The 16,693-nt window shown below is 43.4% G+C and overlaps 1 protein-coding gene across 13 annotated transcripts in view, besides 1 other annotated feature; it reads left to right on the top strand.

The window, feature by feature from the left end:
- Positions 1-16,693, top strand: part of TRANK1 (tetratricopeptide repeat and ankyrin repeat containing 1) — a 118,926-nt gene that overhangs the window by 81,486 nt on the left and 20,747 nt on the right. For 11 of the 13 annotated variants that reach the window (XM_017007570.2, NM_014831.3, XM_047449328.1 and 8 more), the window contains 5 exons: positions 3,099-3,353; positions 5,365-5,541; positions 6,210-9,086; positions 11,914-12,113; positions 12,403-12,540. In XM_017007570.2, the coding sequence (XP_016863059.1) occupies positions 3,099-3,353; positions 5,365-5,541; positions 6,210-9,086; positions 11,914-12,113; positions 12,403-12,540 (3,647 nt within the window). Of the gene's footprint in view, positions 1-3,098; positions 3,354-5,364; positions 5,542-6,209; positions 9,087-11,913; positions 12,114-12,402; positions 12,541-12,841; positions 14,011-16,693 lie in introns of those variants that run through there. The other 2 variants (XM_047449331.1, XM_047449332.1) reach the window with 1 other exon arrangement.
- Positions 6,275-6,458: a silencer, noted in NCBI's record as "fragment chr3:36899292-36899475 (GRCh37/hg19 assembly coordinates)". NCBI's record gives its function as "represses an EF-1alpha promoter that drives an FKBP-Casp9 reporter gene in an ReSE screen in phorbol 12-myristate 13-acetate-treated (for megakaryocytic differentiation) K562 erythroleukemia cells {active_cell/tissue: K562(+PMA)}" and the evidence as "EXISTENCE:reporter gene assay evidence [ECO:0000049][PMID:32094911]".

The raw sequence follows: 16,693 nt of genomic DNA, 5'->3' as shown, positions 1-16,693 counted from the left end.
TCTAATATCTGTTCAGAAATTAATTTTAAAAAATAAAAATAATGTATCTACATGTAAAACATTCAGACAGCACAGAGCATTCTTTGGTGTAAAATCCATTACATACCCCTGAACTTCAACCCCTAAATCCCATCCCCAGAAACAACCTGTTACTAGCTTGTTATGTGTCCTTCTAGAATTACTCTTTGCATATACAGTCATTTAAAAAATACTATAGATATTTCTCTCTTCTGTAGATACTGGCTAATGTTGGAGTATAAAGTTATTGTAGAATTGAATGTTCTTCCTTTTCATTATGGGGAAATCAGGAAACTTCCTGAAAAGAACTTTAGATGACAAAAATTTAAATAATTTGGGAAGATTCTAGAAATTCTAAGTAGGTAAAATATAATATTTTTAAAATGGACACTTCATAAGGCTGGGATGTCTCCATTTTACAAAGAGTGCAAGAAGGCATGGCCAGAGAAACCTAAAATACTCAGGGTGTGCAGCAGATGATAGTATTTAAGGCTTGGAGTTTAGCATTCAAGTCTTGTTTCCAACATACCAGATCTGTGACCTTAGGCCAATTAATTAACCTCTTTAAGCTTCAGTTTCTTCATCCCCTTGCCTTGGGTAGGGAACTAACCTCGTGAGATAATGAATATAGAACAATTAGTCTAATGTCCTGCACATAAAATGCTAGTACTCGTTAGCTGTTAGGATGGGTTGCGATGAGGCTAGGTTGTCAGCCTTTCTTTCTTAGGTATCAGTGAGTCAAAGATAACCAGCATACCTGTTACACACACTCTAGGATGGGGCCATTTTGTATGGGATCTATTAGATGTAGATATTCTGTACAAACCACATCTAGGGAGCCTTTGGTTTTTGGACTTAATGTCATTTGATCTGTGGCCCATGAAGACTGTCCTCATTTTTACTTAGGGTTGTGAAAATAAAACCTTATTTAATGGTATTTGGTAAAAATCTCATAAAAGCCCATTCGATGGGAATGCTGCTTTTCCAATGTCCTTTGTGTCTTATGGCCTGTGTTCCTGTGCCTCCTTTTTTTCTCTGTAGGGTATTGTGAGTGTTGGTGTGGGTTCTTCTTTCTCTCACTTTGGCTTGGTTACTTTCCCCTTTCCTCTTATTCCTTACTCTTTGTACCTTTCTTGAAGGTCTCTCCCTCAACTGTCTTCCAGAGCTGAGTGGGTCTCTAAACCACCCAACCTTTTTAACTTTTTTCTGTCTTCACTTTTCCTTTTTTTTTCCTCTTTGTATCCTTAACTGGCCGTAGGGTAGGCTATTTATAGCTCTTCCTATTGAAAATGACAGACTCGAATGGGCTAAAAATTGGCAAAAAAGTGACTTTTTTTGACTCTCCTAATAAAAGTGCCAGGCTGGCTTCAAGTACAGCTGGCTTCAGGGAGCTCACCAATGTCACTATGACCCATTGTCTCCCATCTTTCAACTGAGCTCTCTGCTAGTTGGCTTCCATCTCAGACTCTCTGTGGAGATGACATTGAAGTCTCTAATCTCTGACTTGTCCCACATTTCTGGACTTGTGGACCCGTCTGTCTCTCTCTTTCAGTGGTTCGAACAAATGTCCTAGGCTTCACTTTGGATCATGATGTATACCTCTGTAGCTGAATGTGATCAGAAGGATGGAGATTCTTGATTGGCTTAGGTCCAAATCACATGCTACCATATCTCATCCATATGTCAACAGAGAGTGCCAGAAGGTGGGAGAGGGCTGATACCAGATGATGAGTGAATAGATTCCGGGGACAAAAATTGCAAATGCCGATTTAAATAGTTTGCCTTTTACACTTTTATTCTGATTCCTATTAAAATAAGATGATAGACTAGCCTATATTTAATTTCTTCTTATTTTAAAATGAACATTTTAAATATTAAAATGAATATTCATTTTAAGAAAACTTGGAAAAAGATGGGAAGCGGAAACTAGCAAATGCAAATCAAGTTGCTCTTATTTAGGTAATCCTTGATTTTTCTCCCCTTCTGCTCTTCCTCCCTGCTTTCTTAGTGGTAGGGTTGCCAGACAAAATACAGAATTCCCTGTTGAATTTAAATTTCAGATAAGCAATGAATAATTTTTTAGTATAAATATGTCCCTAAATATTGCATATATATACTTATACAAAAATTTATTTGTTGTTCATCTAAAATTCAAATTTAATTGGCATCCTATGTTTTTATTTGCTAAATCTGACCATCTACTTGCTGAAGATCTGTTAAAATGTTTTCTACTCTTGGCCGGGTGCAGTGGCTCACGCCTGTAATCTCAGCACTTTGGGAGGCTGAGGTGGGCAGATCACGAGGTCAGGAGATCGAGACCATCCTGGCTAACATAGTGAAACCCTGTATCTACTAAAAATACAAAAAAGTAGCCGGGTGTTGTGGCGGGCGCCTGTAGTCCCAGCTACTCGGGAGGCTGAGGCAGGAGAATGGCGTGAATCCAGGAGGTGGAGCTTGCAGTGAGCCGAGATCGCGCCACTGTATTCCAGCCTGGGCGACAGAGTGAGACTCCATCTCAAAAAAAAAAAAAAAAAAAGTTTTCTACTCTTAAGATTCACCAACAGTATGAAGTGGGATAATTTTTATCCTGTCTTTAGACATCAAAGATCAGATGGAAACATTTATTTATCATGATAAAAAATCAAGAATTAAGGGATAAGCCATCCTCTCATGGTTACCTTATGGCTCTTGACGTTTTAATTGTTCTGTAGTATCTCTCTGTATTTCAGTATTTATTAGGAAAGGACACTCTTAATATCATGCAAAATTTAAGTCAGGCTTTTGCCCTTCTGATCTCAGCAGAATACTCTGAATTCAAGTATTCTGCGTTAAGACACAGTCATCATTCTTCTGTCTCCTGGGCCAGGGTCTGTACTCTTCATAGGGTATTTCTGATCTTCCCATGAAGTCTCAAGGTCATTACACTGATGTTCATGAGTGGTTAAGCAACATGGCCCAAATAATCAACTACTTGTTTATATAATCCGTGTTAATTATATATGGATGTTGGGTTGTGATTGGGGAAAGAAGAGAAATCATATGAACATTTTTGGAATGTGTCTTACTCTTATTTTTGAAAGAAATTCCTCCTGACCTGGTCTGTGATATTAATCAAGACTGTGCCACCACCGTCTTCAAATTCTTATTGGAAAAACAGAGATGGCCTGAGGTGCTTCTGCTGCTGACCCGCAAAGTAAGTGGAGAACCACCGCTTGGGGATTGCCTCATCAAAGACTGCAACTTCTCAGACCTCGACATCTGTACCATCATCCCCCATCTCAGCACCTGGGACCAGCGGAAGAAACAGCTTCTGGGCTGCCTGATAGACAGTGGAGGTGAGAGTGACTGGATGCTAAGCGTTGGAGACTTGTCCACATTCTCCACGTGATGGAGTCCAGGCCACTGCCTGCCTTTCCCTTGCTTTTGGAGGCACCATGAAGTTCACCCTCATTGCCTACCCTGTATATTCTTGTTTTGAAACAGTGATGGAGGTTACTGCCCTGTGAGTGAGTTGCCCTTGAGGATCTCTGCATTTTTGTGAATTCCAGTTACTACCTTTCTCTTTTGTATGGGAAACATCAGGTGTTCTCTTTTGTATGGGAAACATCAGGTGTGTGAAGGGTCCTTGGCTCTGGTTTAGCCTACAGCAGTCATTTCCTCCTGACCTCTGGCTAGACTTTGACTTGCAGTGGATATACTGTGTGGATCCTTATCTACTCCTGTGACATTCTTTTCTGATCAACAGATTGGGATTCAAGATGCTTGTTTTTAAAGAAACGGTCAAGTAATTGGTGGGTGGAAGCATCTGCTGCTTTAATGAGAACTATCATGCGTGGCTGGGTGTGTGTCTGGAGTGTGCAGACATCTTGCTGAATTGGCTTTTATTTCCAAGCTGATTTAGAAACACCAACCTCCTCCTACCTCTGTCCCTCACACCTCCACTAATGCCAGTACTAACTGTGTGGCATTGGACATGCCATTTATGACTTCATTTCCTCATTGGTAAAATGGGAATAAATAGGCCCCCTTTTATAGGGTTGTTTTGGATATTAAATAAGTTAATGTGTGCAGGCTTTTAGAAGAGTACCTTGGCTATGTAGTTCTCTGCTTGCTTCGTGCTGTATGAGGAATTGTCTTTTACGAGAAAAAACATTATGTGTTATCAATAACACATAATATGTAAGATATAACAGTGACACACAAGACATTGTGTGTTATCAATAACACATAATATGTAAGATATAACAGTAACACACAAGACATTGTGTGTTATCAATAGCACATTGATCCTTAGCCCTCAAAGTGCCACACACCTTGCAGAGCCTTTAGGTGTTGGCTCCATCCACAGCTTTCAGGAGGTAGGTGGGGTGGCTTCTATAATTTATTTTTTTAAACTCCTTCCTTAAGTGGAGTGTTACTTTCTTTGCCTGGAAACCACAGCTGTCATGGAATTCCTGTTTTATTTCTTGATTCGGCAAGCACTTATAGAGCACATCTCAGGATCAGGTGCTAGGAACCAAGCCCACAGAGGTGAGTGCGCAGCTGCTGGAAGTGTGTGGAGGAGACTGCAGATCTATAGTGGGTGGGTCTGCCTTCTGGTGGAGGTTGGGGAACTTTGATGCAGAGGAGCTGTGTGGACTGAACTAAAAAGAAGGTGATTTCGGGTGGAGAGATGTCAGGGAAGATGGCAGTTGAGAATAGGAGCTCAGTAGAAGCAAGGGATGTGGCATGTTCTCACTCATAAGTGGCTGTTGAACAATGAAAACACATGGACAAAGGGAGGGCACGTCACACACCAGGGCCTGTCAGGAGGTGGGGGGTTAGCGGAGGGATAGCATTAGGAGAAATACCTAATGTAGGTGACAGGTTGATGGGTGCAGCAAACCACCATGACACGTGTATACCTATGTAACAAACCTGCACGTTCTGCACATGTATCCCAGAACTTAAAGTATTAAAAAAAAAAAAAAGAAGCAAGGGATGTAGAAAGTGTCCTCACACTGACTGTGTCAGGTATGATGTTAGGTGGGTGTTAGGGTTTCAGTTCTCATGCCCTGTCCTCATGCCAGGACAGTGGGAATGGTGGGAACTATGCTCCTGTGGTGGGGAGCTGGAGAGGAGGCGGGGGTGAGGCCCCCAGACAGGGTGCTTGAAGGAGCTGGGCTTTCACTTTGTGGCTACTGGCAGAAGCCTTTGCCTCCCAGAATGGGTGCTGGTAGGAGGATCTTGGAAGTTAGGTAAACATTAGCTCTTCCCTTGCAACTGAATAACTGAAGCATTCCTTCTCTCGTCAGGCGAGCCAGGCTGTGCCTGCTCACATTGCGCTTCCCTTCTCTCCTCTCCCAGCCTTGCCTGATGGTCTTCAGGAGAGCCAGGAGAGGCCAGTTGTCACGTGCCTGAAACATGAGGACTTCGAGTTGGCTTTCCTTCTCTTGACCAAGGGCGCAGACCCCCGTGCTATTTCTCTCACGGAAGGTGATACTCCTTTGCATGCAGCACTCCACATCTTTCTAGAGATTAAAGGTAAGCCCTTGTTTTTTAAGCAGCCGTCTCCTTGAGGAGGAAGCTGGATATTAGAACTGATGCTATGTTTTCTGGTCTTTCCTTTTGTGTAAACCAGTGATCTGAAAAAGGCCCATTTCTTGGCCAGGCCTGCCCATGTCACCTGGCCCCTCACTTGTAGCATAATGGGAAGAAGTGACCACCATGGTGAGTGGTCAGGGAGGGTTGATGGAGGATTCTAAAGTTCCAGAGTTGGCTGTTGGTAGCTGAAAAATACTTTCCATTTATTTATATCATTTTCAAGGGTCTGCGTATGAAGGATCTTGCTAGAATCTTGTATGGTCATTTCAGGAACTACCATGACATTTGGGCTGGGTAGTTCTTTGTTGTAAGGCACTGTTCTGTGCGTTGTAGGATATTTAGCAGCATCCCTGGCTTCCACCTGCTAGCTGCCAGTGACACTCCCCTAGCTGTGACAATAAAAAATGTCTCTATACATTGCCAAATGTCCCTTGGGGAGTAAATCACCATTGGTTGAGAACCACTGAGCTCTTTAATGGATTTCAGATTTTTTGGGGGAGTTCAGCATTCTGAGATGCCCCTGGCTGGCATCACTCTCAAACCCCAGGGTCTGCTGTCCCCTAAGAAGAGTGGCTCAGTGCTCACAGGGTTTTGTTTGTGTCTTTCAGCTGACATTGGTTTTAGCTTCCTCAGCCATCTGTTGGATCTGTTTTGGTCCAACCCCACTGAATTCGACTACCTCAACCCCAATGTCCAGGACAGCAATGGGAACACGCTGATGCACATCCTCTTCCAGAAGGGCATGCTAAAGCGCGTGAAGAAGCTGTTAGACCTGCTGGTGAAGTTTGACATCAACTTCAATCTGAAGAACAAAGAGGGCAAAGATGCACGGCACCGGATTAAGAAGAACGACTCTCTGCTCTTGGCCTGGAACAAAGCTCTGATGGAGAACAGGAGGAGGAGCCGGCAGGACTCTGCTGCCCACCTGGGGAAGCTCTCAAAGTCCACTGCCCCTGGTCACACATCTCAGCTCAAGTCCCAGGGTTCATTCAAGTCAGTGCCATGTGGTGCCACTGCCAGAACACTGCCTGAAGGAAGTGCAGTCCCTGACAGCTGGGAGACTCTCCCAGGTACCCAGGTGACCAGGAAGGAGCCTGGAGCTCTCAGGCCCTGCTCGCTGAGAGACTGCCTTATGCAGGACATCACAGTTTTGATTCAGCAGGTTGAAGTGGATCCGTCTTTCCCAGAGGACTGTCTTCAGAGCTCTGAGCCTCTGGAGGCAGGAGCTGGCAAAGAAGGAAAGAAAGATGACAAGCCGACTCTGGGTGCAGGGGCCCCTGACTGTAGTGAGGTGGGGGAAGGACATGCTCAGGTGGGCCTTGGGGCCTTGCAGCTTGTGCCTGATGATAACAGGGGGAAGGAGGGCAATGATGATCAGGATGACTGGAGCACGCAGGAGATTGAGGCCTGCCTCCAGGACTTCGATAACATGACCTGGGAGATCGAGTGCACTTCAGAAATGCTGAAGAAGCTGTCTAGTAAGGTAATGACCAAGGTCATCAAGAAGAAAATCATCCTTGCCATTCAGCAGCTGGGAAATGGCGAGTGGACCCAGGGCCTGCAGAAGCGACTGAAGCACCTGAAAGGAAGCATCCAGCTCTTCGAAGCTAAGCTGGACAAAGGAGCCCGGATGCTCTGGGAGCTCGCCATTGACTTCTCCCCTCGATGCAGTGAGAACCCTGAGAAGATCATTGCCACGGAGCAGAACACGTGTGCAATGGAGAAATCAGGGCGGATCTACACGGAAATCATCCGGATTTGGGACATCGTCTTAGATCACTGCAAACTGGCTGATTCCATCAAGGCCATCTGCAATGCCTACAACCGGGGCTTGTCCTGTGTCCTGCGGAAGAAGCTGAAAGGTATCAATAAAGGCCAAGTGTCAGCTAACATGAAAATTCAAAAGCGTATACCTCGCTGCTATGTGGAGGACACAGAGGCCGAGAAGGGCAGGGAGCATGTCAATCCTGAGTACTTTCCCCCAGCCAGTGCAGTGGAGACAGAATATAACATCATGAAGTTCCACAGCTTCAGCACCAACATGGCCTTTAACATCCTCAATGACACGACAGCCACAGTGGAGTACCCCTTCCGGGTGGGTGAGCTTGAGTACGCGGTGATCGACCTCAATCCCAGGCCACTGGAGCCCATCATCCTTATTGGGCGAAGTGGCACTGGGAAGACAACCTGCTGCTTGTACAGATTGTGGAAGAAATTCCACGTTTACTGGGAAAAAGCTGAGCAGGCAGGAAGCCCATTGCTGGCCAAACAGGTCTGGCTGAAGAGAAGGTTGGAAGTGGAACCCGGAAAAGAGAGTCCAGGTGGGGAGGAAGAGGAGGAGGAAGAGGACGAGGAAGAGGAAGATTCTATTGAAGTGGAAACAGTAGAAAGCATAGATGAGCAGGAGTATGAAGCCTGCGCAGGAGGAGCCGGTGTGGAGCCAGCAGGGGACGGCCAAGCTGCAGAAGTATGTGCACCAGAACATCCCCACCAGCTGGAGCATTTACATCAGATCTTTGTGACCAAGAACCATGTGCTGTGCCAGGAGGTACAAAGGAATTTCATTGAGCTTTCCAAGTCCACCAAGGCCACTAGTCATTACAAACCACTGGACCCCAACATTCACAAACTCCAGGACCTGAGGGACGAGAACTTTCCTCTGTTTGTCACTTCCAAGCAGCTGCTTCTTCTGCTTGATGCTTCTCTGCCCAAACCATTTTTTCTGAGAAACGAAGATGGAAGCTTGAAAAGAACCATCATAGGATGGTCTGCACAGGAAGAGTCAACCATTCCTAGTTGGCAAGAGGATGAAGAGGAGGCTGAGGTGGATGGGGACTACAGTGAGGAGGATAAAGCTGTAGAAATGCGTACGGGTGACAGTGACCCCCGGGTGTACGTGACGTTTGAGGTGTTCAAAAATGAAATATGGCCCAAAATGACCAAAGGGAGGACTGCCTACAACCCTGCACTGATTTGGAAAGAAATAAAATCTTTTCTAAAGGGTTCTTTTGAGGCCCTCAGCTGTCCCCATGGGAGACTCACTGAAGAAGTATATAAGAAATTAGGGAGGAAACGGTGCCCCAATTTCAAGGAAGACCGGAGTGAGATCTACAGCCTCTTCAGTCTGTATCAGCAAATCAGGTCCCAGAAAGGTTATTTTGATGAAGAGGATGTTCTGTACAACATATCCCGGAGGCTGTCGAAGCTCAGGGTGCTCCCATGGTCCATCCACGAGCTCTATGGTGATGAGATTCAAGACTTTACCCAGGCCGAGCTGGCGCTGCTGATGAAATGCATCAATGACCCCAACTCTATGTTCCTCACGGGGGACACGGCCCAGAGCATCATGAAGGGCGTGGCCTTCCGCTTCAGCGATCTGCGCTCTCTGTTCCATTATGCCAGCAGAAACACCATAGACAAGCAGTGTGCTGTCCGGAAGCCCAAGAAGATCCACCAGCTGTACCAGAATTACAGGTCCCACTCAGGTAAGTCCAGCTCTTGGGTTTGCCTACTGGGGGTGCTTAGGCACAGACTTTGGGCTGCCTTTGAAGCTGCAGACTAGCTCTTGTTAGGTTTTTACAGCTGAAGTAAGGGTAGTATTTTGGAATTTGTTAGTAAATACGCTCATGGACAAGAGATAGTATGATTTTGGCCACTGCTCCTTAAGTTAATAATTTAAGCTGTGGTTGGGTGGCAACTGACCTTTAAGTAATTATATCTCAAGGAGTTTGCCATAACATGAATACATTTCAGGGGAACATTTAAACTGTTTGAGAACTTTCATTAAAGTACTTGGGAAGTACCTGCTCGTTCTATATAAAGTAATATACCAGTTACAAGTCATTAATCCTTGAAGCAGGTTTTCTCCCAAAGAGAAGGAAAAAAAAAAAAGGGAGGGTGGTAGGCAGTGGGAGTTAACACACACTTGGGTGCTTTTAATTTGTTTCTTAGTTTTTCCCTCTTTCTGTGCCAGGCACAATGCTAAACAGTTTACGTATAGTGCTTAATCTTCATAACACCACTGCGAGGTAAGCATCAGACCCATTTTACAAAGGAGAAACTAAGGTACACAAGTTTAAATAACAGGGTACCAATGCTGGAATATTTCCTTTATGGTTTATAGATACTAACAAATTTATCTCCTTTGGCCGACAAATATCTGTGAACAATATGGAGTATTGCTTTACATGTTTAAAAACTGTAATGGGATCATGCTGGACATATCTTTCTGTAACTGGGTATTTTTGCCTAATGTTATGTTGTTGAGATTTCTTTCTTTCTTTTTTTTTTGTTTTTTTCAGATAGAGTCTTGCTCTGTTGCTCAGGCCGGAGTGCAGTGGCGTGACCTCGGCTCACTGCAACCTCCACCTCCTGGGTTCAAGCAATTCTCCTGCCTCAGCCTCCCAAGTAGCTGGGACTACAGGCGCCTGCCACCATGTCCAGCTAATTTTGTATTTTTAGTAGAGATGGGGTTTCACTATGTTCGTCAGGCTGGTCTTGAACTCCTGACCTGAGGTGATCCACCCACCTCAGGCTCCCAAAGTGCTGGGATTACAGGCGTGAGCCCTCGTGCCCAGCCTGTTGTTGAGAATTTTGCATGTTGATAATGTGGAGTTCTAGTGCATTCATTGAGGTTCACATAGCATAAAAGGCACCCATTTGAAATGTTCAGTTTAGTGTTTTTTAATGTATTCACAAATTGTGTAACTATCACCATCATCTAATTCTAGAACATTTTCAGAAATTAAAAACCCCTCAAAACCCATAATCATAGCAGTTACTACTCATTGTGTCCTTCTTCCCACTCCACGGTGACAACTCATCTTTCTGTTTCTACGGATCTGCCTATTGTGGACATTTCATATGAGTGTAATCATATAATACATGGCCTTTTGTGTCTGGTTTCTTTCACTCAGTTTAATGTCTTTAAGGTTTATCCATGTATAGTATGTATCAGCACTTTATTCCTTTCTATGGTTGAACCATCTTTTGTTTTTTGAGTATGGTTACATCAAAAATTACTTGTCTAGTTCCCTAGAAGGCCATTTAAGTGGATTCTACTGCAACTTTTGTGCCCTTTTCTGATTCTCCTGTTAATGTAGATATATATTTGGCCCCTGCTAACTCCTAATGGGAAGGGAACCACAGTAGAAGCTTATTTGCTTAGATTCAGCAGTTTCCACTTAGGCTTATTGCTTTATATTATATACTTTTAATAACAACAGTATTGGATAGTCACATTTTCCCTTCACTATTTGGTAATAGCAATGGGGATACATATGCCCATTTCATGACGTTCTACCTAGACCATTGTATTCTATCTGGTGTTTGAAAAGGGCACCTGGCTTCTAAGAGTAGTGGAGACACCCAGGAAGGTCTATGTTCAAATCCTATCACTGGGAGATATCTATTAGCTTCTCAGACCTCAGAGTTCCTGTTTGTAAAAGTGCAATTGTCTCATCTGTCTCACTGCATTGTTGTGAGGATTTGTTGTTGTGAGGATTAAATGGGATGACTTTTTTGAAGGTGCCTGCTGTATGATAGGCATTAAGCCAATGTCACTATTAACGTCACTTCAGATATTAGAGAAGAAATGGGACCCAGGAATAAATCTCTTTGGAAAATCCTCTCTCCTGCTCTGACATTTTTTCTTAGTGTAATCCTCTCTCAACTGGGTATAAACCTGGGGGAAAAGGGTGATGGAGGCCTTGGTTGCTGTCCTTAGCTCACATGCAGCACTGTTTTTACCATGGTAATATTGGTTCTGTAAGCACCAATGGGAGAGGACAAGGCAATTCTGGTTTTCTTACCAAAGTCAATACCAGCCCCTTATGAGAGCATTCTAACAGCTCTCATTGTTTTTTTTTTTTTTTTTTTTTTTTAATTGAGATGGAGTCTCGCTCTGTCACCCATGCTGGAGTGTGCTGAGGTGTGATCTTGGCTTACTGCAACCTCCGCTTCCTGGGTTCAAGCGATTCTCCTGCCTCAGCCTCCTGAGGTCTCATTGTTTATATTACATTTTTGCCTTGACTCTTCTTTGTGAGGTAATTTTCTCTAATATGAATATAGGTTGGGAATGAGATCCCACAAAACTCTCTCAGCACAGCAACATATCTCTGCCTTCTCATCCCCTGCACCCAGAGAGCTCAGGGCTGCAGAGGTAATCAAATGGGAACTGAAAACGGGCTTGCAATTATACATACTGTAGGGGCCAAACCTGCTTCTCAGGAAAAACATGTCCCCCACCCCAAATAACCAAAAAACTCAGCCATGTTGTTAATTATCCAACTTGGGTTTTCTGTTTCATTCCAGGAATCCTCAATCTGGCATCTGGAGTGGTGGATTTACTTCAGTTCTATTTCCCAGAATCTTTTGATCGCCTTCCAAGGGATTCTGGCCTCTTTGATGGTCCTAAGCCAACTGTTCTGGAGTCTTGTAGTGTAAGCGACTTGGCAATTTTGCTACGAGGGAATAAAAGGAAAACTCAGCCCATTGAATTTGGAGCCCACCAGGTGAGCTGCTTGGGATTTTATGTTTTGAAATAAAAGACAGTTTGCAATTGAAAAAAGTTTGAGAAGCTAAATTATACCACAAAGTAGCATTAAAAATAGTCCCTGTCCCACAGTGGGTGAGTTCCAGAGATGGCTGAGTGACCAAGTGTTTCAATCTTTCCCCTGGCCTGCCTGACCATGTTTATGCTGGCCATTTCTCTTTAAAAACATTACCTATCTCCCATAGAAATAGACTGAGGCTTACTGGGGTTTTCTCTGTAGAATTTGATGTTCTTTTGTTTTTCTTCAGGTAATCCTTGTGGCCAATGAAACGGCAAAGGAGAAAATTCCAGAAGAGCTGGGGTTAGCACTTGTGCTAACAATTTATGAAGCAAAAGGCTTAGAATTTGATGATGTCCTCCTTTACAACTTTTTTACTGATTCTGAGGTATGTCACACCTAATTCTTTTCACACAATGAATATTTATGTATGAGCTGAACTTCCCTCTGGGGAAGAGAATTTGGAGTTGAGGGTAAGAGAGTTTATCACAGGCTCCTGTTTGTGTTTTAGAGCATCATTCATTCAGTATGAGGTTTTGTGTGTTTAGATGTGGGTTTTGACATTAGCTGTGGGTTGTTTCACAGTGTGTCATGGGCTAGTTCCCCCTGTGCCCTGCCCTTCTTTGGCTCTCTAGTACCCAAGTGCCAGTGTCCAGTTCTCATTAGCCACTGTTATCCTTGGCTCCCAGGGATGCCCAAGTTGGAGCAAGCTCTAAGGAGAGCCTTACAGATGAAGCCAAGGTTAGCAATGTCCACCCTGTGATGACAGAACTGGGTAAGGTCAGTTCATAGATAGAGACAATTCCAGGAAGACAAATGAGGCTTGGTTCCTGCCCTCTGGATCAGGTAATGTGGGGGACAAGAACAGCTTCCTTGCATGAGAGACCCCTCTAGCATGGCTTCACTACCACTGCTTGCAGCTCATGCAGATGATGGCAGCCAAAGAGTCCCCACATTGACCCCCAGTGACCTCTGTATTGGTCCACTGCTTTCACTTGGCTCCTGAGTCCTTGTGGGTTTTTCTCCCCAAGCTTAGTTCATTATGGGTAGAGCTACCAACTCACAGCCGTTGTCCTGGGTTTTCTAGCCACTGTTTTCTCTTTCCCACTATCTTTTGGTGGAGACTCAAGCTGGCTGCTGACTGTACTGTGGGGTCTTCTCTGGGGACTTAGCTGGCTGTGTCCCAGTCCTTGTTGCAGACTTCCTTTGCACATGATGCATGCTTGAAGGGGCTATGTTATACCCAAGTCAAGAGCACTGTTGGCTTTAACACTTTAAAAATCTGCCCCAGAACTGACCCTTTAGATAGAGTCCTTCCTTTTTTTCTTATCATTTTTTAAATGTTATTTTGCCTTAATAGCACAACTATTACAATATTGATATAGGTGCTTTGCAGTTTACAGAGTACTTTTTGAAGTCATTGTCTCACTCCACCAACCCTCTGAGGTTATATGTATTTTTATTACTCTCATTCTATTTTTTAAAATTTATTTTTATTTTTATAGAGATATGGTCTTGCTGTGTTGCCCAGGCTGGTCTCAAACTCCTGGCCTTAAGTAATCTTCCTGCCTTGGCCTCCCGAAGTGCTGAGATTATAAGCATGAGCCACCTTTATCTGTAGATAAAGCAGAAGGTCACTGAGATTAGTACATTTCTCATAGTCGTAATGTAGATGGCAGAGCCTGGAGATGAACTCAGATGCTTTGAGTTCTAAATCTCTTTCCATTTTCCTTCCTTTTAAAGCCTCGCATGCGAATTGAATTCCAGAACCTTCCACAATTAGTGTATCATTGCTGTTCCTTATGTACATTCCTTTCCTGTTAAATTTTGCTAATAAAATCAGATGCACACTCATTAACCCTGGAACCATTTTTACCTCTGAGGACTAACTTTTTTTTCTAATGATACATCCATCGGTCATGGTTGGACTGAGGCTCTCCTAAAAGAGGAAGGGTAAGACTTTGTTGTTTCTGTTCTTTATTAAGTACCAGTTGTATGCTTGTGCGAGTAAGAAGCTCAAGGAGCTCTGGACTTAAGGATCTGTAAATTGTGGTTGGCTCTATTTGTGAAAGAAAAATCCAGTTATGTGTCTTACCTTGATCCTGGAAGTGGCCAAGGCTCAGGTATCTTGACCCGGTGCTCCCACCAATGGCTCAGGGAGTTGCCTGAAACTAAAACAATCCCAAACAGAATCTTTTGTAAACATCCACTTCATCCTGTGTACACAGTAAGACTTTGGAAAATACTTTGGTTGGGGTTCTTCCCAGTGTTAATGTGACCATGCATTCCCTGGCCCAAAGCACACTCTCAGTTTATCATTTACAACCTCCAGGCCAAAGGGAGTCAGTCAGCAGATGAGAGGAAACGCTTTCATAAAAGGAGAGGAAAGACAGGTCCCATATATCCCCAGCCTCCTGTGGTCTGGCTGCTTACATGGGGTTTCTTTCAAGGTAACTGAAGGCTGCTGAACAGTGATTGCTATTTGAACTTGGGGAACTGTGGAGAGCTCCTCTCTCTCCTTGACCTCTTCTTCCATCTCATTTATATTTCAGGCAAGCTCTGTCTTTGAAGCAGCTGTTATCTGGGCTTATATGTGGGTGGGTTGAGGGGTATGGGGCTTGTTGGCCTGGTTTGTGATTCTTCTCTCTGGAGGGTTTATTGTTACCTGTTGAACCACATGGTCACCAGAGCCATCTCTTGAGATGTGAAAGGGACCACAGAATGGCTACCCCAAAGCTTTTTGTAGGATGTTGCCTTCTTTTTGGGGGAGAGGAAGTCATTCTTCCAGTCACCCTCAAGCTATCCTTCTGTGGGGACTTAGAAGGGTAACTGCCATTTATACCTTGCCCCAGTGGGACCTCCTTTCTTTCATACTCATGGCGGTGGGACAGAAGGGACTGTGAAAACTACAACCTTTATGGGTTGTCTAATTGACCTAGAGAATAGGCCCCTCAAAGGTAGGATTGCTAGTAAAATCTAAGCCTTTTCCTTCACAATTGATAGTACCAAGAAAAGAAACTGGAAGACTTTAAATTTTCCTGCTTTTATTCCCCCAAGTGCTGTAGGCCTGTATCCTTGCTACAAGTACATAAGCGCACTCCTAAAAGGCCCCACCTTGGAAATAAAATATGTTTGATTCATGAAACAGGCCATTCATGTGCCATCTGAGCAGCTTTTGCTTCTCTTACAGCTGTTTTAAAATACCCTGTTCTTCCTTAGCCCTTTCAATATTAGCCAGTCCGTATCTCATGCTACCTGCCAGGAGGATCCTCTCAAATGTCAAACACTTGTGTCTTCTGCCTACTTTCCTTGGTAAACAATTTTGTTGTCTGCATAGCTTCACAAAAAGGACAGTCACAAATATGTCCTGAAGATTGTTTTAAACCTTCCAACTACCTAAGTGATTTCATGATTTCAAAACATGGTGATTAGTACTATAATTGATTAGTAGCATAACCATTCCTATTTAATAGACAGTGTTTAAGGCATTTAACCTTGTTTACATAGTTCAAGTGATGGAGTAACTTAAGGCAGGTAGTAAACTCTATCCACTTCACCTTTTCAGCATGCTTTAAAAGTTACATAGATGGCAAGTAGCACCATTTTATAAAAAGAAAAGTAAAGGCTAGGAGAGCTACTCTCACAAGACACAGGAAAGTATGAAATATGAAGTTTCTTAAGAATTTTGAATTCTAAATTCTGCATGTAATCTGGGCACTTCAGTTTTACTGGGGTCTGTAAACTACAGCCTGTTGGCCAAATCCAGACTACCGGAGTTTTTTTATGGCATGTGGGCCAAGAAGGATTTTCACATTTTTAAATGGCCAGAAAAAAAACCCAAAGGAGAATAATATTTTATGGTATATAAAAATTATATTAAATTTGATTCAGTGTTCCCAAATAAAGTTTTGTTGGAACATGACACACTCATTCATTTACTTGTTGACTGTGGCTGGTTTAGCACCAAAATGACAGAATTGAGTAGTTGCAAAGAGAGATCATGTGACCCGCAATGATAACAATATTTATTATTTGACATTTTAAAGAAAAAATTTAGCAACCCCTGGTGTTTGTAGTCACTTTGGTTTTGGCTTTTGGGTAAAGGAAAAAAATGGGTAAAATGTCAACTATTAAACATTGTACTAGACATTTGACACTGATTATCTGTTTTTATTTTCCCAACAAAGTTGAGTATTATTATTCTCATTTTATAGAGCAGGAGAATAAACAATGTGTTCGAGGTTGCATAATTAATAAATGGAAGAACTGAGATACAAATTTGTTCTGTCTGACCTCAGAGTCTACCTTGCACACCATAGCACTGGATTTTCTTCATCCTCGGTTAAATAATTTAGTTAGAAAATTCTGCCACATGTATCTTAACGGCTGACCCTATGTGCATCTCTTAACCATGTTTTGAGAAGGGGTGGGGATTCCCCTGTCCATACTGATTGTAGAAATTCTTTCAATGAGAATAACTCCCTGAGCCCTTAGCATTCTTCCCTGGAAGTGGTCATGTGTGCCTGGCTTCTTAGCTTCTT

The sequence above is a fragment of the Homo sapiens genome, chromosome 3, assembly GCF_000001405.40.
Source record: "Homo sapiens chromosome 3, GRCh38.p14 Primary Assembly".
Lineage (NCBI taxonomy): Eukaryota > Metazoa > Chordata > Mammalia > Primates > Hominidae > Homo > Homo sapiens.
This window is presented reverse-complemented; position numbering and strand designations above follow the sequence as displayed.